At 41.9% G+C, this 22,320-nt stretch overlaps 1 protein-coding gene across 1 annotated transcript in view; it reads left to right on the forward strand.

Moving 5' to 3' along the window:
- The window catches only part of TBC1D19 (TBC1 domain family member 19), a 282,243-nt gene that overhangs the window by 256,616 nt on the left and 3,307 nt on the right, over positions 1-22,320 (forward strand). The window contains exon 21 of the transcript XR_007057937.1: positions 11,770-11,886. The gene's annotated coding sequence lies outside the window, so the exon portion shown is untranslated. The remainder of the gene's footprint in view (positions 1-11,769; positions 11,887-22,320) is intronic.

Consider the following 22,320-nt stretch of genomic DNA (forward strand, 5'->3'; position numbering starts at 1 on the left):
GTCCTTTTTTGGGGAGTGTGCGTCAGCTTTATTGAGGTATAATTTAGGAGCAGTAAATTCACCCTTTTTAGTGTATATTTCTATGAGTTTTGATAAATACATAGAGTCATGAAGTCATATTTCTACCAACACAAAAATTCCCTTGCACTCTTTGGTAGTCAACTCCTCTGGCCACTCCCCAGCCCTTGGCAACCACTGTCCCTATAGTTTTGTCTTTTCCAGAATGTCAAATAAATGGAATCATTCAGTCAGTAGCAGTAAAGGTGAGATTTAAATCTTAAGCAAAGAGGAGCTTCTTAGAGCTGAAATGTTTCTAAAGCATCTTAAAGCAGATGGAGCTGTTCGTAAAGGAAGCTTGTGCTACAAAAGCTGCCATGGATAATGGAACTTGTGCAGGTTTGTTACTTCCACACAATGTGTCGCTAAACATTCTGTTGCCTCTTAGTGGCTAGCCAGGGAGTTCCCAAAGCCCCAGCCAGTAGGTGGGTTCACAGAGATTTACTGATGACTGCCTTGTGCTAGGAATTATACCAAGTAGGCTTTAGAGCTGTGGCTATATGTTGGGCTGTCTGCTCAGCCTATACTTTTATGTAGAAATCTTCCCCACTCAGAGGTGGTGATATGGTTTGGATCTGTGTCCCTGCCCAAATCTCATGTCAAATGGAAATCCCCGATGTTGGAGGAAGGGCCTGGTGGGAGGCAACTGGATCATGGGGGCAGAGTTACCCCTGTTGTTCTCGTGATAGTCAGTGAGTTCTTATGAGATCTGGTTGTTTATAAGTGTATGGCCCCTCTCCCCCTTCCTTCTCTTCCTCCTGCTCCAGCCATGTAGGATGTGCCTGCTTCCCCTTTGCCTTCTGCCATGATTGTAAGTTTCCTGAGGCCTCCCCAGCCATGCTTCCTGTACAGCCTGCAGAACCATGAGCCAATTAAACCTCTTTTCTTTATAAATTACTCAGTAGTTCTTTATGGCAATGTGAGAATGGACTAATACAGGTTGGTCTCCCAGAGCCATGTGTGTGCTCTATGATAATGCCCTGTGGTCATAGCTGGTTAGGCCACAGGTGAATCTCTGACTTCATTAATTCAACAAATATTCATTCATTTAACAAATATTGAGTGCCCATTATGTATCATGGACAGTGTTGGGGGTTGGATCAATGCCTAGACTCAAGCTGGGGGCATCAGATTTTCTCTCCTGGAATTTTAAATTGGGCATAAAAGACAATCGTCAATCTGGGCTGGTGGCTATGGGGGGCGGGGGTGGTGCACACACCAATATAGTGAAGGTCTGGTTTGAGGAAAGATGTGCAAAGAAGTGGAGATGGGAGACTCTGGGGTCCTGAAGAGAGACCAAAACTACTCACCCCCAGTCCTTCCTGCCTTTCTGGCTACTCGTTTTCATTCTTCTTCATAGGATTCTCTCCTCATCCATTGAGGGATGATGTTTCTCAAGGTTTTTCCTCTTTTCTTTTCACTCTTAACTATTTTGCCAGGGAGACCCCATCTACGTTCATGTTTTCAATTCCATCTATACTTTGATGATGCTCACATTTAGATGGTCAAGCAAATCCCGCTCCCAAGGTTCAGACCCAGCTATCATGCTTTCTACTCAGCATCACCACCTGGATGTGCCATATTCACAAAGCTCTATGTGTGTAGAACTGAACTGATATTTGAGCCCTTAGCCCTTACTCCCTGTGGTAGGCAGAATAATGGCCTCCAAAGATGTCCACCTCTTAATCACTGAAATTTGTGAATATGTTGTCTTATGTGGCAAAAGGGACTTACTTGGCAAATGTGAATAAGTTAAGGATCTTGATGGGAAGATAATCCTGGATTATGTGAGTGAATCCAATGTAATCACCTGTGTCCTTATAAGAGGGAGGCAGGAGTGTCAGAATCATAGAGAGAGTTTAGAAGATGCAGCTCTACTGGCTTTGAAGATGGAGGAAGGGGCCATGAGCCAAGGAATGCAGGTAGCCTGTAGAAGCCGGAGAACACAAGGAAATGGATTCTCCCCTAGAGCCTGCAGAAGGAAGCAGCCATTCCAACACCTTGATTTTAGCCCAGTGAGACCCACATGGACAGCTGACATCCAGACCTATAAGATAATAAATTTCTGTTAAGTCACTAAGTTTGTGATAATTTGTTACAGCAGCAATAAGAAATGAGTACACTTCCAAAAGCTCACCCTTCTACATTTTCGATCTCAGCAGTGTCACTTCTGTTCATGCAGTTCATAAAGGCAAGGCAGAATCGTAGGAGCCATCCTTGACTCCGTTTCCCAGGTGCACACATCCACTCTCCTTCCTGAACACCTCTCGAATCTACCATTTCTTTCCATTGCCATAACCTAGTCTCAGCCACTATTCTTGATTTCTCTGGCACCTTCCTAAATAGTTGCCCTGCCTCCCTTCACCCTATTCTTTGCCCTGAAGTCAACATGAACTTCCTAAATGAAAACCTGATCATGTCACGTTTCTACTATAAACCTTCAATGGCTTCCCATTGTCCTTAGGGTAAAGTTCAAACTTTGATGTGGCTCACCAGGCTTGTGTTCTGTGATGCCTATTTTCTTCCCTAGCCATTATCTCTCCCCATTCTCTTCTTTCCTGTTCTCCCCTTCAAAATACGTATGCTGCCTATACCACATGCATTCTGGTTCTTGCATGTGAAGTGCTCTCTCTCTCTCTCTCTCTCTCTCTCTCTCTATCACTTCTGGGCCTTTGGACATGATTTTGTTTCTATCAAGAGCATTTCTCCCTGGCCCTTGCCTCTTTGGCTTCAGACTTTGGCTTCCTCTGGAAGCACTTCCTGACCCTTCCAGTTTGGTTTAAACGTCATTCTTATGTGCCCTGACACTTCGACCTCCCCTGTCTTAATGCTCATCAAGCTACATTGTAATTGCTTATTTAATTGTACGTCTCCTCAACTAGACTTTAAACTCCATGAAGTTCTAGAAGAATGGCAGCCAAGTCTGTCTTACTCATAGTTGTATTTCCAGCTTCTAGCACAGTGCCTGGCACAGAGGGGTTCCTCAACAAATGTATTTTAAATGAATTCAAAGAGACCCATGGACAAAATTGAGAAGAGGGAGAAGTCTTTTGAAGCTGATGGTGTTGGAGGGGCAGAGGGAGGTGGGAATCAAGAAACACTTCAGGGAATATGTAGTGTTTGTACTGGGCCCTTGTCCAGCTTTTGAGCTGTTGTCCTGCACCCCCAGCTGCCTTTCTATATTATGCTCTGTAGAGGTACGAACAGGTGTCTGAAAACTACATTTCCTAGGCTCCCTTGCCAGCTGGGTCCAGAGGAAAATCCAAAGGCAGCAGCAGAGAGAAGAGTCCTGCTCTAGTTTTGAGAGTGAAGACTGCTGGAAGTTGCTGGAGCAGCAGCAGGGGTTGCAGGGAGGAGGAGAATTCCAGATTGCAGCAGCCCAGGCAGAGGCAGCAGCTTTCCAGCAGTTCCAGCCATGTCCCTTTGTCTCTCCAGAACTGGCAAGCCTCACAGCAGCAAGTGTGAATGTAGGGACTTCAGCCCAAGGAATTTTAGCTATGGCTTCTTTTCTTGCTCCTTTAACCCCTCTGTTTCTTCCATTTACTCTTCCAAACCTCCCAGCACCTTGGAAATCAATTCACTGTATCAAATTCCCTGTGTTTGAAACATCTAGAGTGGGAGTCTATTTTCGAGCCTGGACCCAGACCCATATTGCCTTGAAGACAGGATAGCGGGAGAAGACAGAAAGGCATTCCATTGGAGAGACTGCCCCAAGCAAGTGTCCAGAATGGGAATGTTTGGAGGGGTTGTGGAGAGTGAAAATCAACCTATTTGGTTAGGGCATAGTGAATGAATAGGAGAGTGGCAAGTCACTAAACCACAGAGGCATAAAAGGTCTATATAATGGAGAAGCTCCAATACTGGGTGGAAAAGTTTGTACTGGTTTTGGTAAGCAATAGAGATTCACTGAGGCCTGAGTCAAGTGCCATAATGGGAGATGGGCATGGAGAAGACCATTTTGCTTAGTGGTGAGTGTGATGAGTTGGAAAAAAAAGAAAGATGCAATAGACTAGCAAATATGTAGTATTTAGAGGCACTGGTTGGATGAGATGAATGAGAGAGGAAAATCAAAGATGGCACCACAATTTTCCCCCTGTTTAACTGGAAGGTAGGGCCCCTAGGAGATGTCAGGAAGATATCAGGAAGAATGAAAGTGGCTTGAAAGCTGTGGAAGGCAGAGAATAATATTTGGCATCTGTATAGCACTTGGAGTTTTCACATATGTGATATCATTTGATTTAAATTCCAATCTCTTAGCTCTTTTCACTAGTCATTGATATTGATCTATAACTGGGCAAAGAAGCTGAGGCTACATAACATGATTTAGCGATCATCTGTATGGAGGAGACAAGCAAAAACAGGACACCGGATGAGATCACTAAGGGCAAGAGTAGAGAAGCCAGACCTACAAGGATGCATGTGGGGTGCGGGTGAGTCTGGGAAGGATGAAATGTTGGAGGTAAGAGAAAGGCTGGTTAGAAAGGAGGATGGTAAGTATTGATAGCAGGAGGACCAAGACAGTTGGTGCTACATAAGCCCAGAGAGAAGGAGATTTTATAAAAAAATTGGACATTTTTTCCCCTAAAAAATGACTGTCACATTCTGCAAGGTGTTAAGGAGAATAAAGGTTGAAGAAAAATCCACTGGGTTTGCAGATAACAGTTTCAATGATTAAGTGGGGACAGAATCTATATTTCTTGTGGCTAAAGAGTGGTTGAATTATAAGAAACAAGGCAATGAGAATGGCTCATTTTCCCATTCTCTTGGCCCCTTTCCCATCCATTTCCTCTGTTTGCCACCAAGTCCTTCCCTCCTCATACCCTCAGCCTACTCACCCATGCAACTTCCGATACCACCTGCATCTGAGTGTAGAATGGGCCAGTTGTTGGACGTATGTATACGAAGCTGGCTCACTGACTTGCAAGTTTGGATTTCAGAGAGACACAGTCTGTGTGACCAGTATCAGCTTACTGTAGAGGCTGAAAGTATTTATTAGTGTCAAAGGTTGGTACTTAAAGTTGTAGACACCAGCTCAAAGTTTTTTATTAAAGACATCTAGCAGTTTATTAAGCAAAGGCTGGCTGACATATATGACTTCATGAAAAACGGGAATAAAAGAATTATACAATTTTCTCCCTTTAAAAAAAAAGCATCGCTTGTGTTCTTACATACTTGACATCCACTAGAAGTCATAAAATCACACCAACACAGTATATATGTTAAAAGCTCCATATCTCCTGAACCCCTGGTGAAGTCTGCAGAACACATTCAAAACAGTTGGTGAGAGTAGGCCACAGCGGGAGGGAGCAGACTTCCTGTACTTTGTCAGACTGGAGGAAGTCAAAGTTAAAATCTGATTACTTCGCAAGGATTCCAAAACCTGATCTAAATCGCCTTTCAGAATCTGTTAACAAATCAAAGAGCATTTCCAGTAGCACCAAGCAAGAGGCCTTATGGCCTGATAATTCTGGTAAGTTCCACTTTTGGGATAGGGAATATTTGACCAAGTTAGATCCTTCATAAAATGCAGAGCCTGTTAAACCCCAACCTAAATATGTTCATAATAAAATATCAGCCTTCCAAATTACATTCTATATGAACAAACAAGCCCACGAAACATCCAAACAACAGTGCAGTAGGTGGAAACAGATGTCATCATTTATTTTAAGATTCGTTTATTCAACAATCGAATGGAGGAATGTTGCTTATTCTATACAACATCTTAGGATTTAAGTAGTTTACCTGCTATTTTGAAACATGCATAGGGCTGTCAAATAGTTTCCTGGGTTTTCAGAATAGCTCCTAAACTGTGCAACTCTGCTTTCTTTCCACAATATAAACAAAAAGGGTTTTTTTTTCCTTAAACTTGCCATAAAAACGATGTCGTCATAGGATAAAAATTTTAAAGCGGCTTTAAAAAATTAAAACCTATGAATTAGTCTCAAGCAGCCTAACTTTATTTTTCTAACCACCAATTCCAACAGTAATAAATACTTATGATTGAGATCTCTGAGTATGATACTTATAATAGGACATAGTAAAAGCCTAGTTAATTTCCACTTCTGGTCTTGAATCGATTTTTTTCTAATGTGTAAAATTTCAAACAGAGCTCTTGCTTCATTTCATGTTACTTTCCTTCTTTATTTAGTTAAAGAAGATGTGTGGGAAGGAGCATGAGGGAGGCATAGGGATAGCAGGGTGGGTTCAATCTCCTTTTCCATCACCCCCCCGCCCTTTCTGTCAAAAAAAAAATGCTGAAAAAATTAGTCTCTACCCTTGCTGGCTCAACTTCATCACCTCCCATTCACTTATCCGCCCACTGCCATCTGGCTTCCATCCCAAAACTCCATTCAGATTGTTCTCATTAAGATCACCAATGCTTTCCTCCTTGCCAGATCCAATGACCTATTTTTAGGTCTCCTCCTGGTTGACCTTCTGCGGCATTGCACATGCAATGCAGACCCGAGGCTCCAAACTCACATGCCCATAGGCTGGCTGCAGTCTACACAGGTGAAGCTGGGTTTGGTATTGCGTAGGGTGAGTCACAGGAAGCCTGTCCAACTGTGGGCATGTGTCCCTTCTAAGGTAGCAGCTGCTGCTGTCTCTGGTTGATTTTGGTCATGGAGGAATGTGGACACCGCATTGATAAATATTTTGATTTTTTTTTTTAAAGAAAACTTGGTTTTTATGAGAATGTTTATAATTCTTCTTTCTTTCTCTTTCTCTCTTCCTCTCTTTCTTTCTTTCTTTTTGACTGAGTTATACTCTGTCGCCCAGGCTGGAGTGCAGTGGTGTGACCTCAGCTCACTGCAACCTCCGCCTCCTGGGTTCAAGTGATTCTCCTGCCTCAGCCTCCTGAGTAGCTGGGATTACATGTGCCCACCATCATGCCCAGCCAATTTTTGTATTTTTAGTAGAGACGAGGTCTTACCATGTTGGCCAGGATGGTCTCAAACTCCTGACCTCAGGCAATCTGCCTGCCTTGGCCTCCCAAAGTCCTGGGATTACAGGTGTGAGCCACTGCACCCAGCCTCTAATTTCTAACTATTGGCTCAATTTTCGTTTAATGCTTGTAGGGAAAGTAGACATCACTGTAGACCTCCGAGGAGAAGACTGTACTGTAGATGAGTCTATGGTTCTCTTGCCCTCTGGGCCTGGTTCTTTATAGGTTCTGCCTATTTGTTTCTGCCCATTTTTCTGCTGTTCCCCTGGCCCCCATACCTACCTCAATCATATTGAGGCTCCTTGTGTTCCTTCTTAGTCCCCTTCTATTTTCTCCTCCTCGTGGGAAATGTTGTAGACCCAGGGCTAGCTTCCTGGGCTTGCAGTCAGTGCAGTTGCCCTGAGCCCCACATTCAGAAGGGCTCCATGCTCATGGGTTAGTGCTCTGCAGCTGCTATCTTGAAATTCTTACGTTATCTCTGAATTTATGTTTTGTGAGTGAAATACGATGGGATAACGAGCATGTGCCAGGGACTTAGCATTTCAGCTCAAGCGCTGTCCTTCTCACTGCCCTTCTTCTCACTTCTCAGCCTGAGAAGAGTTCTTGGCCACCTGTTCCTTCAACCTTCCCCGACCCAGGTCCTGCCACTCTCCTCCTCTAACCCTTCCCCCCAAGACTGCCATTATCCTCCACCCTGGCAGGAAGCTGAGTGCAGGTGTAAGAAGGGTTGGGGTCCTTGCACCTGCATCTCTAGTCAAGGCCTGGCAACAGTGGCTGTCCTCACCCTAGCCTGAGTGCATGAGGCTGGATACAGTGGCTCATGCCTGTAATCCCAGCACTTTTGGAGGCTAAGGTGGGCGGATCACCTGAGGTCAGGAGTTTGAGCCCACCCTGGCCAACATGGAGAAACCAAAAATACAAAATTCTCTACCAAAAATACAAAAATTAGCCAGGCATGGTGGCGTGTGCCTGTAGTCCCAGCTACTCGGGAGGCTGAGCAAGAGAATTGCTTGAACCTGGGAGGTAGAGGTTGCAGTGAGCTGAGATCACCCCACTGCACTCCAGCCTGGGTGACAGAGTGAGACTCTGTCTCAAAAAAAAAAAAAAAAAAGTGTATGACTTGTTGAGGGTCAGCCTGTTACCCCCTGTGATCCAAGTCCCTAGCACATCTTGATGCAGAGGTTGCAATATCCTTGGGATTGCCCATCTGCTATGGGCTGGGACAACTGACTCTTGGAAAGTGGAGATGCCTGACTTGACTTCCCAGCCCCTCACTGAGGTGTGGTGCATGCGAGCTGGTGAGAGGGGGAACATGGCAGCTGTCAGGCTCAAGGGCATATGGAACTTCCAAGTCCCACGGCAGCAACCAGAGCATCTGGGAGAGTCTGAACTTACCCTACGCGTATTTTTGGATCCTTTGGGCCACTCTGTGCCTGTGAGAACCTTTTCTTTCTCCTTTTAGCTTCTCTGAGTCTGGCTTGTGTTCATTTCTTCTGACCAGCTTGAGACACCATCCGGGGTCAAGCCATAAAATATGAATGGTGTGATGTCAGTGATTCTGACAGGAGCTCAATGTTCTAATATTTACATCTAGAACTGGCATTGCACAATATAAAGATGAACAGTAAAATTCATGCCAGTAATTTAAAATCTTTATTTAGAGCAATATTAAATAGTGAATTAAAAACTCACCATGACATGTTGAGAGAGAAAGAGAGATCTTGGAGGAAAGGGAATAGTTTATATTTTAGGACCTTAGTATCTTTAGTCATTTTAATGGCAATTTTCCTGCTCTTTGAACAAAGGCCACCAAATTTTTATTTTTTATCAGGCCCCACAAATTGTATACCTGGTTCTGCCCAGGCCTGCTTTTGCTGATGGTTCCCCACTACATCTTCAGTCTGGATTCTGCATCTCCTCTCCAGACCTGCTGTATCTTGGGGGTTTGCAGGCAACTCAAGCTCAACATGTTCTCACCTGACATCATCCCTCAAGTGTGTTTCTCCCTTTACATTTCCTTGTTTTCCTTTTTCTTTTCTTTTCTTTTCTTTTTTTTTTTTTTTTTTTTTTGAGACAGGGTCTCACTCTGTCACCCAGGCTGGAGTGCAGTGGTGTGATCACGGTTCACTGCAGCCTCCAACTCCTGGGCACAGGTGATCCCCCCACCACAGGGTAGCTGGGACTATAGGCATGCACCACCACACCTGGCTTTCCTTCTCCTTCCTTCCCTTTCTTCCCTTCCTTCCCTCCCTCCCTCCCTCCCTCTTTCTTTCCTTTTCCTTCCTCCCTCCCTTTCTTTCTTTCTTTCTTTCTTTCTTTCTTTCTTTCTTTCTTTCTTTCTTTCTTTCTTTCTTTTTCTTTCTTCTTTCCTTTCTTTCTCTTATTTTTTTGTAAAGATGGGGTTTCACCATGTTGCCCCCGGCTGGTCTTGAACTCCTGGGCTCAAGCAATTTGCCTGCCTCAGCCTCCCCAAATGCTGGGATTAGGATTATAGGCGTGAGCCACAGTGCCTGGCCTATTTCCATGTTTTCTTAATGAAATATCATCTCGACACACATTTGTAACAGAGTAGTTGCTAAATTGTTGAATGGATGAATGAAATCGTAGAAACATTTTCATTTTTCTCTGTTCTTTCACAGAAAAAGGAAGAATTAAGTCTTCCTGGGCAATTAGGAAAAGGCTCTTGGAGGAGGTAATATATGATCTGTGGTTTTAAGAATGAACAGGTCTTTCAGGCAGCATGCATGATACGTTTCTACAGCTATCTGGGTGACTAGAAGTTATTTCTGAGCACAGGCTTGTCATGGAGAAGAAAAGGGGAAGGAGAAGAATCAGGAACAACAATTCTTCCACTGCCAGAAACATAAAACATAACTGAAATTAATGAGTTGCAAAATAATTCCTGTATTAAAAATTTTTTGGAACGTGTTCACATGACACTTTTTAAAGCTTCATGCTTGTTTGGTTAAGGTCCATACATATCAATGTCACATCCAAGTAAATCTATGTCTCCCCAAACTTTTCAGTCACATAATACATTTCATTACGACTCTTCTATATTCACATAATGCTTTTCCCAGTGTCTTACAGATAACCCATCCTTCATCTAGGTATCAGAGGTTGGGATTCAACATCTCAAATAGAGAAAGAAGAGATAGTGCTGACCATGAAGACATCTGGTAAAATGTAGCATTGACATCGGAGACCATTAACGGCATATACTATATTACAATTTTATCAACAGTAAATATGACATCCGAGATAAAGTTGTTAACCCAAACTAAATTTTAAACTTTATTAATAGCAGAGCAAGAGTTCCTTCCAGTTAAAAACAGAATCATATAATCTTGGTAAAGTCAAGACAGATACGATCCTCAACTACCTTTGTGTCAAGCAGTTATTTGTGTTGCTATAAAGGTGTACCCTAGACCAGGTAATTTACAAAGAAAAGAGGTTTAATTGAATCATGATTCTGCAGGCTGTACAAGCAGGGCACCAGCACCTGCTCAGCTTCTGGGGAGGCCTTGGAGAGCTTTTACCCATGACAGAAGGTGAAGCAGGAACAGGCCTGTCACAGGGCAAGAGAGGGAGCAAGAGAAAGAGAGTGTGGAAGTGCCACACACTCTCAAACAACCAGATCTCGTGTGAACTCACACATCACCAAGGGGATGGCACCAAGCCTTTCATGAGGGACCCGGCCCCACGATCCAAACACCTCCTACCATGTCCACCTCCAACACTGGGGAAAATATTTTAACATGGGATTTGGAGGGGACATCCAAACTATATAACCTTAAAATAAAGCAGGTAACTCTCCAGCAATTCCTAAATTAAGTCTTCATATCTTGATTCCATTATTTCAGGTCTAGGCTAAAACATCTGAAGTGTCTGTTAGAAGTGCCAGTACTTCAACGTCATCCCAGACCCACTAAATTAGAATCTTTAGGGGACGAGTTGAGAAAACTGCATTTTAAATCAGCCCTCTGCCCCATCCTAGGTGACCTGTTATGTACTCCAGGTTTTAGGAAAACCCAACCTCCAACATAAATACAAGAATTTTAGATCGTCAAATAAAATAGCTTTTCATTTCTCTTGAATATTATCGGGAAAATGAGAAGTTCTAGCTAAGTGGATTTCCAGAAGAATTTAATTTCATAAGTCCCAAAACTTTGAAATATTTAAAGCATTGTAATGAAAATCCTTCTAAACTGTGTTATAGAATGCTCTGTCTTCTCAAACAAAATATATTGCACAAACTGGACATTTGTATTAGTGACTCAGGATCATTATTACAAATATCCATTATTGTAAGAATAGCTGAAGAAGTTATTCAAGTCTGTAAAACTGCGATCCTATGCTAAATGGCTGCAGCCAGCTGTGTTTTATGGGGATACAGTTGCTTTTTTTGTGTTTTATTTAAATATTTTCCTGTTTTTTCCTTTGCTGTCAGCTAACTTTTATTAATGGTACCACTATTTTTTTCTACTTTCCGCTTTTCTCCTTAATAACCTATGAGAAAGCATGAGGAACTCTTTATGAGTAAAGTTCTTGTGTGGGTGGAAGGATCCCTTGGGATGTTTTCAGGTGTTATAAACCACAGTTCAGATTGGCTGAAACAATGAGGGAATTCATTATTTCACATACCAAGAACCTCTGTTTTGTATAGTTGAAATTAAATTATATATACAAGTCTTATCCTGTTTTTTTCACTTATTATAACAGACCATTTTCCTATCATTAAAATCCTGTATAAATATTCTCATACATAGTGTTTCACCATATTAATGAAATCAACAATTATCTTCTACGTGTCAAGTACAGGAAGGTGGTGGAGATGAGATAGAGAACAAGAACAGCCAAGGTCCCTGATGTCCTGGGGCTGCCAGGTTAGTGGGAATGTGCCATCATTTATTTTACCATTATATTGCTTCTGAGAGTTGTTTTGCAATTATAAATAACTTTCTGATAAACATCTTTACTTAAATTTTGGTCTATTTCTACAAGAGTCATTTCAAAAAGTGTAATTACTGGGTTATTGTAAACTTCTATGTTTTTTCAAGACTTTCCTTATTGTGGTAAAATATAAAATAAATAATATAATATTGACAATTTAAACTATTTTTAAGTGTACAATTTAGTGGCATTAGATACATTCACAATGTTTGGCAACTATCACTATTATCCATCTCCAGAACTTTTTCATCATCCCAAACTGAACTTCTGTTAACAGTAACTTCCCATTCCCTCCTCCCCTGACCTTGGCAACCACTACTCTACTTTCTTTCTCTAGAAATTTGACTATTCTAGGTATCTCATTGTATTAGTCTTTTCTCATGCTGCTACTAAAGACATACCTGAGACTGGGTAATTTATAAAGAAAAAGAGGTTTAATGGACTCACAGTCCCCCATGGCTGGGGAAGCCTCACAATCATGGCAGAAGGTGAAGGAGCAGCAAAGGCACATCTTATATGGTGGCAGGCAAGAGGAGAATGAGGACCAAGTGAAAAGGATTTCTCCTTATAAAACCATCAGATCTTATGAGACTTATTTACTACCATGAGAACAGTATGGGGGAAACTGCCCCCATGATTCAATTATCTCCCACCAAGTCTCTCCCATAACATGTGGGAATTATGGGAGGTACAATTTAAGATGAGATTTAGGTGGGGACACAGCCAAACCATATCACTCCTATAAGTGGAATCATATAATATTTATCCTTTTGTGTTTGGCTTTTTTCACTTAACATAATGTTCTCAAGGTTCATACATGTTGTAGCATGTATCAGAATTGTATTCCTTTTTAAGACTGAATAATATGACATCGTGTATATATCTAAATCTACACCACATTTCATTTATCCATTTAACTGTTGATGGACATTTGAGTGGTTTCTACCTTTTGGCTATTGTGAATATCTTATATTTTTTAATGGCTGTGTAAAATGGATTGTACACATTCAGTTTTACTGATAGAATATAAGTAATTCTGTTTCAGTTCATATGCCATAATTATATTTTTAAACCTTGTTAATAGGAGAAAAAACTTATTGTCTTAATTGGCACTTCATTAGTCAAGTAGATCATTTTTCAACTACTTGTATTTATACTTTTGTGGAATGTTTGTTTACATTTTTACCTTTTTAGGCATCAGAATCTTAAGATTTTTCTTATTGTAAGAGCTTTTTCAAATCTAAAAAATTCTCCCATTGTCAAATGGATTGCACATATTTTTACAGTTTATTTTACCATTTTCATTTTGAGCTTCTTTTTGATATGGATAATGTTTTTCATTTTAATGGAGTCAAATTTATCAGTTTGTAAATTATATAATTTATTTTAAGCTTAGAAAATTATTTCCCATCAAGATTATATTTCTTTATCAAATTTTTGCATTCAACACTTTACCCATCTGGAGTTGGATATATGGTGTAAGATGATCTCCATTTATTTATTTATTTTCTTAAAAACTAAGCAATATCTATGAATACTTTTTAGTGCTAGTCTTAACCTTTCTGCTACACTGGACACTGCCAACCACTCTTATTGAGAGTATGTCTACCTTCTTTTTGCTCACTCTCTCCTGGTTCTCCTTCTACACTCTTTTTACTGATTTTCAGGCTCCTTCATTCTAACTTTCTCTGCCTGCTCCTAAGATGGATTTCAACCCTTTAATCTTCTTTTTGTACATTCTCTCTACTCAGTAACCTGCCACTTGATCACAATTCCAGCTTCCACCCATACACCCATATGTGAATGACATCCCCCTTTTTTTGGCAGAAACTCCTACTTGGGTTTTGAATCTATGTGTTCAGTCATTGATTTGTTTAATATCCACCAAATAGTAACTGAATGCCTATGCTACCACACACTCTTCTAGCCTCAGGGGATAAAATGCCTACCTTGATGGAACTCACATTCTCATGGGAGAGACGGACAATATTATAAGCTCAAGCAATCTATACTATTTTAGGTAGTGATAAGGGCTATGGAGAAGGCCAATGCAGGCATGGAAGTTAAGAAGCATCTGTGGGTGGATGTGAGGGTTACAATTTTAAAGTGAGTTGTCAGACAAGGCTCCACTGAGAAGGGACATCTGTGCAAAGAGCTGAAGGAGAAAGATGAGAAAGTAACTATTGTGAGTATCTGTTCAAAGAACGTTCTAGGCAGAAGGAAAAGCAAATGCAAAGTCCCTGAGGAAAGGTTGTGCCTGGTTTGTTCTAGGACCGGTGATGAGACTAAATGGCTCCAGCAGACTGAACGGGAAGGAGAGCAATAGGAAATGAGGTCAGAAAGGTATCTGGGGCCAGATCATGCAGGGGCCTGTTGATCATTATTGCTTTTACTCCAAGCTGTTTAAGGGTTTTAAAGAGAGAACATGACCTCTTGCAGATGCATCAGAAATAGACACTGGAGGGCACAGGCAAAACAGGGAAAGCATTTAAGAGAAAATCGCAATAACCCAGGCAAGAGTTGATGTTTGCTTGTACCAGAGTGGTACCTGTAAGGTGGTAAGAAAAGATCAGATGACTTTTCTATTTCATTGATAGAGTCAACAGGATTTGGTAAACGTGAAGAAGGACAGAGCAGTCATTGACTAAGATGGGGACTATCAGGAGAAGTAGGTTTTGGGGAAAATATCAGGAGCATGGTTTTTGAGCATGTGAATTTGAGATGCTAATTATGCATCCAAGTGGAACTATCAGTATCCACTATCAGTATGAGTCCAGCTCTCAGCTGCAGTAACGGATTTGGTAGTCATTAAGATACTGTGATATGGTGGTTAATTTTAATATGACTGGGCCACAAGGTGCCCAGATATTTGGTTAAACATTAGCATTGGAATTGGTAGACTGATTAAAGACTGCTCTCCCAAATATGGCTGGGCATCACCCAATCTGTCCAGGGTCTGAATAGAATGAAACGGTGAGGAAAAGAAGATTCACTCCCTCTCTGCATGGCTACTTGAGCAGAGACATCAGTTTTCTTCTGCCCTCAGACTAAGCCATACAACTGGCTCTCCTGGGTCTCCAGCTTGTCAACTACAGACTATGGGTTTTAGCTTTCATAATCATGTAGCCAATTTCTTACACTAAATCTCTGTCTCTCTGTATTACATTTAAATGCTTACTGCACTTTTGCTCCTGCATGTACTAAGGACATGTGCAACTAAACATAACCCAAATTCAATAGATTCTTCTTTTTTATTCTTCACTTGTATCTGTAGAACCACCATTTTCATAGAACAGGAATGAACACTGAGACAAAAGAGTAAACTGTTACATAGGTTTAAGTTTCTACATGGTTATTAAAATTTTACAGCAAAGTTAGCTTTGAGCTCCCTGGCAGCCAAAAAATAAATGCCATTTATCAAATTCTCAGAAGCTCTTTTGCTGTTGTTACTTCTTTCTACACTTTATAACAGTAAGCTGCTAGCTTTTCCAAAGCTCCTGTCCCACCCATTTCTTCTCCTGTTTGTACACATTAATGTAGCTTTCTTTCATCTGTCTAATCACATTGCTTATTATATAGAAATAGGCTTTTAGGCTTACATCTTTCAGATAATATGGTGTACTAGGTGCTTTCCAAGTGGTTCAGTATTAAAATACACAAACAGTGGCTGGGTGTGGTGTCTCACACCTGTAATACCAGCACTTTGGGAGGCTGAGGTAGGTAGATTGCTTGGGTCCCGGAGTTTGAGACCCTGTCTCCACAAAAAATAAACAAAAATTAGCTGGGCCATCATGTTGCATGCCTGTAGTCCTGGCTACTCAGGAGGCTGAGGAGGTGGGAGGATTACTTGAGCCCAGGAGGTTGAGGCTGCAGTGAGCTGAGACTGTGCCACTGCACTCCAGCCTGGATGACAGAGCAAGACTTTGTGTCAAAATAAATGATACACACACACACAAACACACACACACACACACACACACACACACGGGCCTCATAATGCCAAGAAAGATCTATTATCTAATTATTCACATGAAAATGTTGAACACAATATGGCTGTTCTTCAAAGACTGCATATTTACTCTTCTGTAAGAAAGTTTCACTTTATGTATTTAAAAAGGTTCAGATATTACTTCTGATTAGGATATCTTTCCTTCTTCTTTTTCTGGTTAGCCTTTAATTTGGTAATACCTTCTTGACCTTCAAAGTCATCTCAACTGTTATTTCCTCTAAGAAATCTTCCCTAGTGCCCCAGTTGGACTGTGGTTATGTAGCATTCTATTTTTACCCTGATTATCACATTTTTACTGTAAATACTTGTTAATCTGTCTCCATCATTAGATGGAACATATCTTGGGAGTAAGTGATCTGTCTCTTTAATCTCAGACGCCCAGCAAGTGACTGGCATTAGTAGTCACTTGATACATATATGATGAAAGATTAATGCCCTTTGCAAATGAAAGAGCTTTCATTTCAAATTATCACACAGATAAATGAAGATCCTCTTGTTGTTGGGTGAACCACTAAATCCATATTATGCCAACTTTAAATCCTAAATCCATTTCTCAGGTTTTAGGGTCACCCAAACATACTTACACCTGCAACATTTGGTTGGCTCTAAGAGAAAGTAACATTTTCATTATTTTTTATAGCCAACTTACGTAGAAAGTTTTTTTAGGGATTGTACTTAGATTACTATTGGCGGTTAAATCATATTCTCTGCCACTCTACCATTTGATTGGCTGCTATATGCCAGGTACAGGATCAGATACTGTAAGTATCTCATTTAAACCTCAAGACAGTCTTGAGATTTAGGTTTATTGCTTTACTTAGGCATTTTGTGGGTTGTATTGTGCCCCCTCCCAAATTCATATGTTGAAGTCCCAATTCCCCGTACCCCAGAGTGTGACTATATTTGGAGATAGTTTATTTACAGAGGGGTAATCAACTTAAAATGAGGTCATTAGGGTGGGTCCTAATTCAGTATGGCTAGTGTCCTTATATTAATAAAATGGGGAAATTTGGGCCCGGCGCGGTGACTCACACCTATAATCCCAGCACTTTGGGAGGCTGAGGCAGGTGGATCGCTTGAGCCCAGGAGCTCCAGACAGCCTGGGAAACATGGTGAAACCTCATCTCCACAAAAAATAGAAAAATTAGCCAGGCTTGGTGGCACACGCCTGTAGTCCCGGCTACTTGGGAGGCTGAGGTGGGAGGACTGCCTGAACCAAGAGGGGTTGAGGCTGCAGTGAGCCATGATCGTGCCACTGCACTGCAGCTTGAGCGAGACCCTGTCTCAAAAAAAAAAAAAAAAAAAAAAGAAGAAGAAGAAAGAAAAAGAAAAAGGGGAAATTTAGAGACAGACATGCAGGAAGATGATGTAGGGAGATGTTCATCTACAAGCCCAGGAGAGAGGCCTGGACAGATCCCTTGCTCACAGTCCTCAGAAGGAACCAATTCTGCTGACATCTGGATTTGGAGTTGTAGCTGCAGAACTGTGAGACAAAAAATTTCTGTTGGTTAAGCCGCCCAGTCTGTGGTACTTTTATGCAGCCTGTGATGGTTAATTTTAGGTGTTGGCTTGATTGAACTAAGGGACACCTAGATAGCTGGCAAGGCATTGTTTCTGGGCTTGTCTGAGAGGGTGTTTCTGGAGGAGACTGGTATGTGAGTTGGTGGACTGAGTGGGAAAGATCCACCCTCAATGTGAGCAGGCACCATCCAATTGCTTAGGGGCCTGGATGAAACAAAAAGGGAAGGAAAGGGCAAATTCTGTTTCTTTCTCTTCTAGAGCTGGGACACCCTTCTTCTGCTGCCCTTGGACATCACAACTTCAGGTTTCCCAGCCTTTAGACTCTGGGACTGGCACTAGCACCCCTCAATCCAAGTTTGCAGGCCTTTGGCCTCAGATTGAGTTACGCCATTGACTTCTCTTGTTCTGAGGCTTTCAGATGTGGACTGAGCCACACTATCAGCTTTCCTGGGTCTTCAGGTTGCAGAGGGCCTGTCATGGGATTTCGCAGCCTCCATAATGGCATGAGCCAATTCCCCTAATAAATACCCTATCTATCTATCTATCTATCTATCTATCTATCTATCTATCTATCTATCTATCTATCATCTATCCATCCATCCTATTGGTTCTATCTCTGTGGAGAACTCTAATACACAACCCTAGCAAACTAATACAGACATGTAATTCCTTTCTTAATAGCAAGGAGAGTGGACTGATTCCAGGGTTGAACAGTTCCAGAGACTTTTTCTATTACTGTGAAATGATCTCCTTAACACCTCAAACTTCAGGTGGAGGGTGCAAAGGATGTAAACTCAAGCTACTGAATTCCCCTTCATAAACTTACTTTTTGGCTATTAAACTAAACCTTATTTTCTATTTAAATATTTATTTTGTACTACAGTATTTCTATGAGTAGTGATGTCTATAAATGTGTACCTTGCTGTGAGAAGTACGAGTTCTTTTTTTATTTTTTGTTTGAGATGGAGTATCACTCTGTTGCCCAGGCTGGAGTGCAATGGTACGATCTTGGCTTACTGCAACCTCCGCCTCCCAGGTTCAAATGATTCTCCTGCCTCAGCCTCCCAATAGCTGGGACTACAGGCGTGTGCCACCACGCTCAGCTATCAAGTTCTTTTATTTACTTAGTGCATGGAGGATGAGACAGAAAGGGTATGTCTGGGGAAAATGTAAACAATTTAATTGCTTTAAATGTTGTCCATATGCTGGTGACTCCTAAATCTAAATCTCCAGCTTGGGCTTTTCCTCTGAATTCCTGGCCTCTATCCAATTACTTACTGATGTTTCCACCTGGATGCCTATTAGGCATCTCAAAGTGAACGTATGCAAAACTGAGTTTCTACTGTCCTTCTGCCATCACTTGCTCTTCTCACAGTCTTCCACATCTTGGTTGATGGCAACTCCATTCTTCCAGTTGCTTAAGGTAAACATTTCGTTGTTATCCTTGACTTTCTCCTCTCACACGATGTATTCGGTTGGTCTATAAATCCTGTTGAGGCTGGGTGTGGTGGCTCACACCTATAATCCCAGCACTTTGGGAGACCAAGGCGGGAGGATTAGTTGAGCTCAGGAGTTCGAGACCAGCCTAGGCAACATGACACAACTCCTATCTCTACAAAAAAAATACAAAAATTAGCTGGGTGTGGTAGTACATGCCTGTGGTCTCAGCTACTTAGGAGGCTAAGATGGGAGGATCCATTGAGCCCGAGAAGTCAAGGCTGCAGTGAGCTGTGATTGTGCCACTGTACTCCAGCCTGGGTGACAGGGCGAGACCCTGTCTTAAATAAATAAATAAATATCAATCCTGTTGATTCTACCTTCAGAATTTACCAAGAAGTCCACCCCCGCCCCTTTTGTTTTTTGAGATGGAGTCTCACTCTGTCACCCAGGCTGGAGTGCAGTGGTGCGATCTTGGCTCACTGCAACCTCTGCCTCCCGGGTTCACACCATTCTCCTGCCTCAGCCTCCCGAGTAGCTGGGATTACAGGCGCCTGCCACCATGCCCAGCTAATTTTTTGTATTTTTAGTAGAGACGGGGTTTCACCGCGTTAGCCAGGATGGTCTCGATCTCCTGACCTCATGATCCACCTGCTTCGGCCTCCCAAAGTGCTAGGATTACAGGCGTGAGCCACTGCACCCGGCCGGATTCTACCACTTTTAACCATCACTTCTGCCACTATTCTGGCCTAAACTACATCATCTCTTGTCTGGACTGTGCAGCAGCCTCCGCAATGGCGTCCCCGCTCCTACCATGAAGCAACCAGAGCGATCCTGTAAACACATATGTCAGATGCCATGATTCTACTCAAAACCTTTCAGTGTTTCCAAACTCATTCAGAGGAAAAAGCTGTAAGAGCCCTGCATGTTCTGGCCCCTATCACTTTTCTTTCATTATCCACTATTTTCTCTGTCAGATACTCTAGCTAGATCGATCTCACTGGTATTTGTGAACAAACCACATACATCCTTTCCCCAAAACTTTTCTGTGGGCTGAAATCCTCTCTCCCCAGACATCTGTACAATTCTCTCATTTTGTTCAGGTCAAAAGTTATCTCCCCCCTTCCAGCTCCCCACCCACTTAGCACTTATCATTATCTAATATACAACATATTTTACTTTTTCATCTCCCATATTTTCAGCTTCCCAATTAGAATATAAAATTCCATCAAAGCAGACATTTTCTTTTCTTATTGTCACATAGTAGCGGGCCCAATAAATTTGGCTAAATAGCACTACTTTGTCCCAGTTAGAGAAACAACTTTTTTTTTTTGTTTGTTTTTGAGACAGAGTCTCGCTCCGTCGCCCAGGCTGGAGTGCAGTGGTGCGGTCTCGGCTCACTGCAATCTCTGCCTCCCAGGTTCAAGCCGTTCTCCTGGCTCAGCCTCCTCAGTAGCTGGTATTACAGGTGTGCACCACCATGCCTGGCTAATTTTTGTATTTTAGTAGAGATGGAGTTTCACCATGTTGGTCAGGCTGGGCTCGAACTCCTGACCTCATGATCTGTCCAGCTCAGCCTCCCAAAGTGCTGGAATTACAGGCGTGAGCCACCGCGCCTGGCCAAGAAACAACTTTTAAAATCTGATCTTCTTTCTTTCGTATTTACAATAATGCTCTGGGAATGTGCTCATCCGTAATTCAAACATCCACATTTCCAGACTTTCTGTTTTCCTTCGTTTCCATATCAGAAGGCTTGTCCTCAAACTCTCTTTTACTTATTCTTCTTCCTCATTGCAAACACATTCTGAAACACCTTTGTGTAAATATAAACACGTCAAGACAAACGCCTGATTTTACCATCTCCTGGCAGCTACACTATGTGAAATATGAGATCATTTCTTCACTTGACATTAAATTTTGAGGCAAGAACATCTTGAAATAAACTATTTCCTTAAAATGATTTAACTATACCAGAGACTGTGGAACCAGAATTTCATGGTGACAGATATTTTTAAACAATTAACAAAGCATAAATAAATAAAAGAAATACATATCTGTTTGGTGCTATTGTATGGCTGTGAGCTCCTTGGATTCTGGACTAGAAATTATCTTACTAATTTTTGATCTTAGCACCTAATATAGTACCCGACCCTAAAATGCATTCAATATTTGATGTATGAACACAAACGGCTTCTCTTAGTTCACAATGCCTTGGCTCTCCTATGTCTTTGCCATTATCATAAATTTGAACCCAGCTTATGTGCCTCCCTGGATTTACTTGGTAATAGTTTTATGTTGAATGCTACTATTACTATCCAGGAACTTTACACCATAACAGCATCCTTACAGGTTGCAGAAGGGATGTTTCAATCTTCCTTGGAGCGTGACTTGTTGAGCTCTGTGGCTGCCTTGGTGGTAGGGGCCAAGATGTGATGTTCCCCTTGCTCCAGGTCTCTCATGCTGCTTTAGGGCACAACTTTAATAATGCCTGGTTAATGCCTTGAATCTCCAGCCTTTTTTTTTTTTTTTTTTTTCCTCTGGGGCTTCCCTTTTGTTACAGAGGTGGTAGACGCTCCTGGGATACTGCAGGCTGCAGGTGGACAGTGGCACCCATTCACTTGCTGGCTTAGCTCATGCATGGATAATGCCACTGCTGTTCAGGGATCTGGCTTCTCTGGCAGCTGCCTGGAGCGGCAGGTGGCATGACTGAAAAGTGCGGGCGAGTTTGCATCTCCTGCAGAAACCTTTGACTGATGGGAGCCAAAAGTTCCATTTTTCTCCCTTCTTCTCGCACTGTTCCAAAACAGAGTGGTCTCCACTATGGAGGCATCGTGAGAGACTGAGCAGCCAGCTCAGTGGTGCATCACCTGGATATTTTTCTGCCTCCTTCTGTGCGTGGCTCATGTCTCCCTTCCCCTTACTTCTGCTTCACTGGGGTTGAAGGAATTGTTGAAGGAAATCCTACTCTCTAAGGAACTGTTATATGGGCCTTTGCATCGGGTCCTATTTTCTAGAGAACTTTTGACTGTCACTTTAGGCATATGGCCCTGTAAAGACTTCTGTGTACGTACCTTTGTTGTATGTGCTCTTGTAGATTGTTCGTGTATTCTTTTTTTCTACTTTCCTTTTTTGCACAATTCAACTCAAAACGAGCTCTTGTTTTTCATACCTTAAGGGTTTAAATAATAATAGCTAACTATGCACCAGGCAGCTTTACAATCATTTTTACTTTACAACAACCCTCTATCTAGGTATTAGCATAAGGACCTGGTTTTACTGGAACAAAAATACCGGAGTTCCTCACCTTACGAAGGGTTTTCGTTTCAGATGGGTGTACTTGGGTGTACTTATGGCCATTTTTTTTATACATTCAAACTTAAGGAGTTGAAATTTCCAGTCC

The sequence above is a fragment of the Homo sapiens genome, chromosome 4 (assembly GCF_000001405.40).
Source record: "Homo sapiens chromosome 4, GRCh38.p14 Primary Assembly".
NCBI lineage: Eukaryota > Metazoa > Chordata > Mammalia > Primates > Hominidae > Homo > Homo sapiens.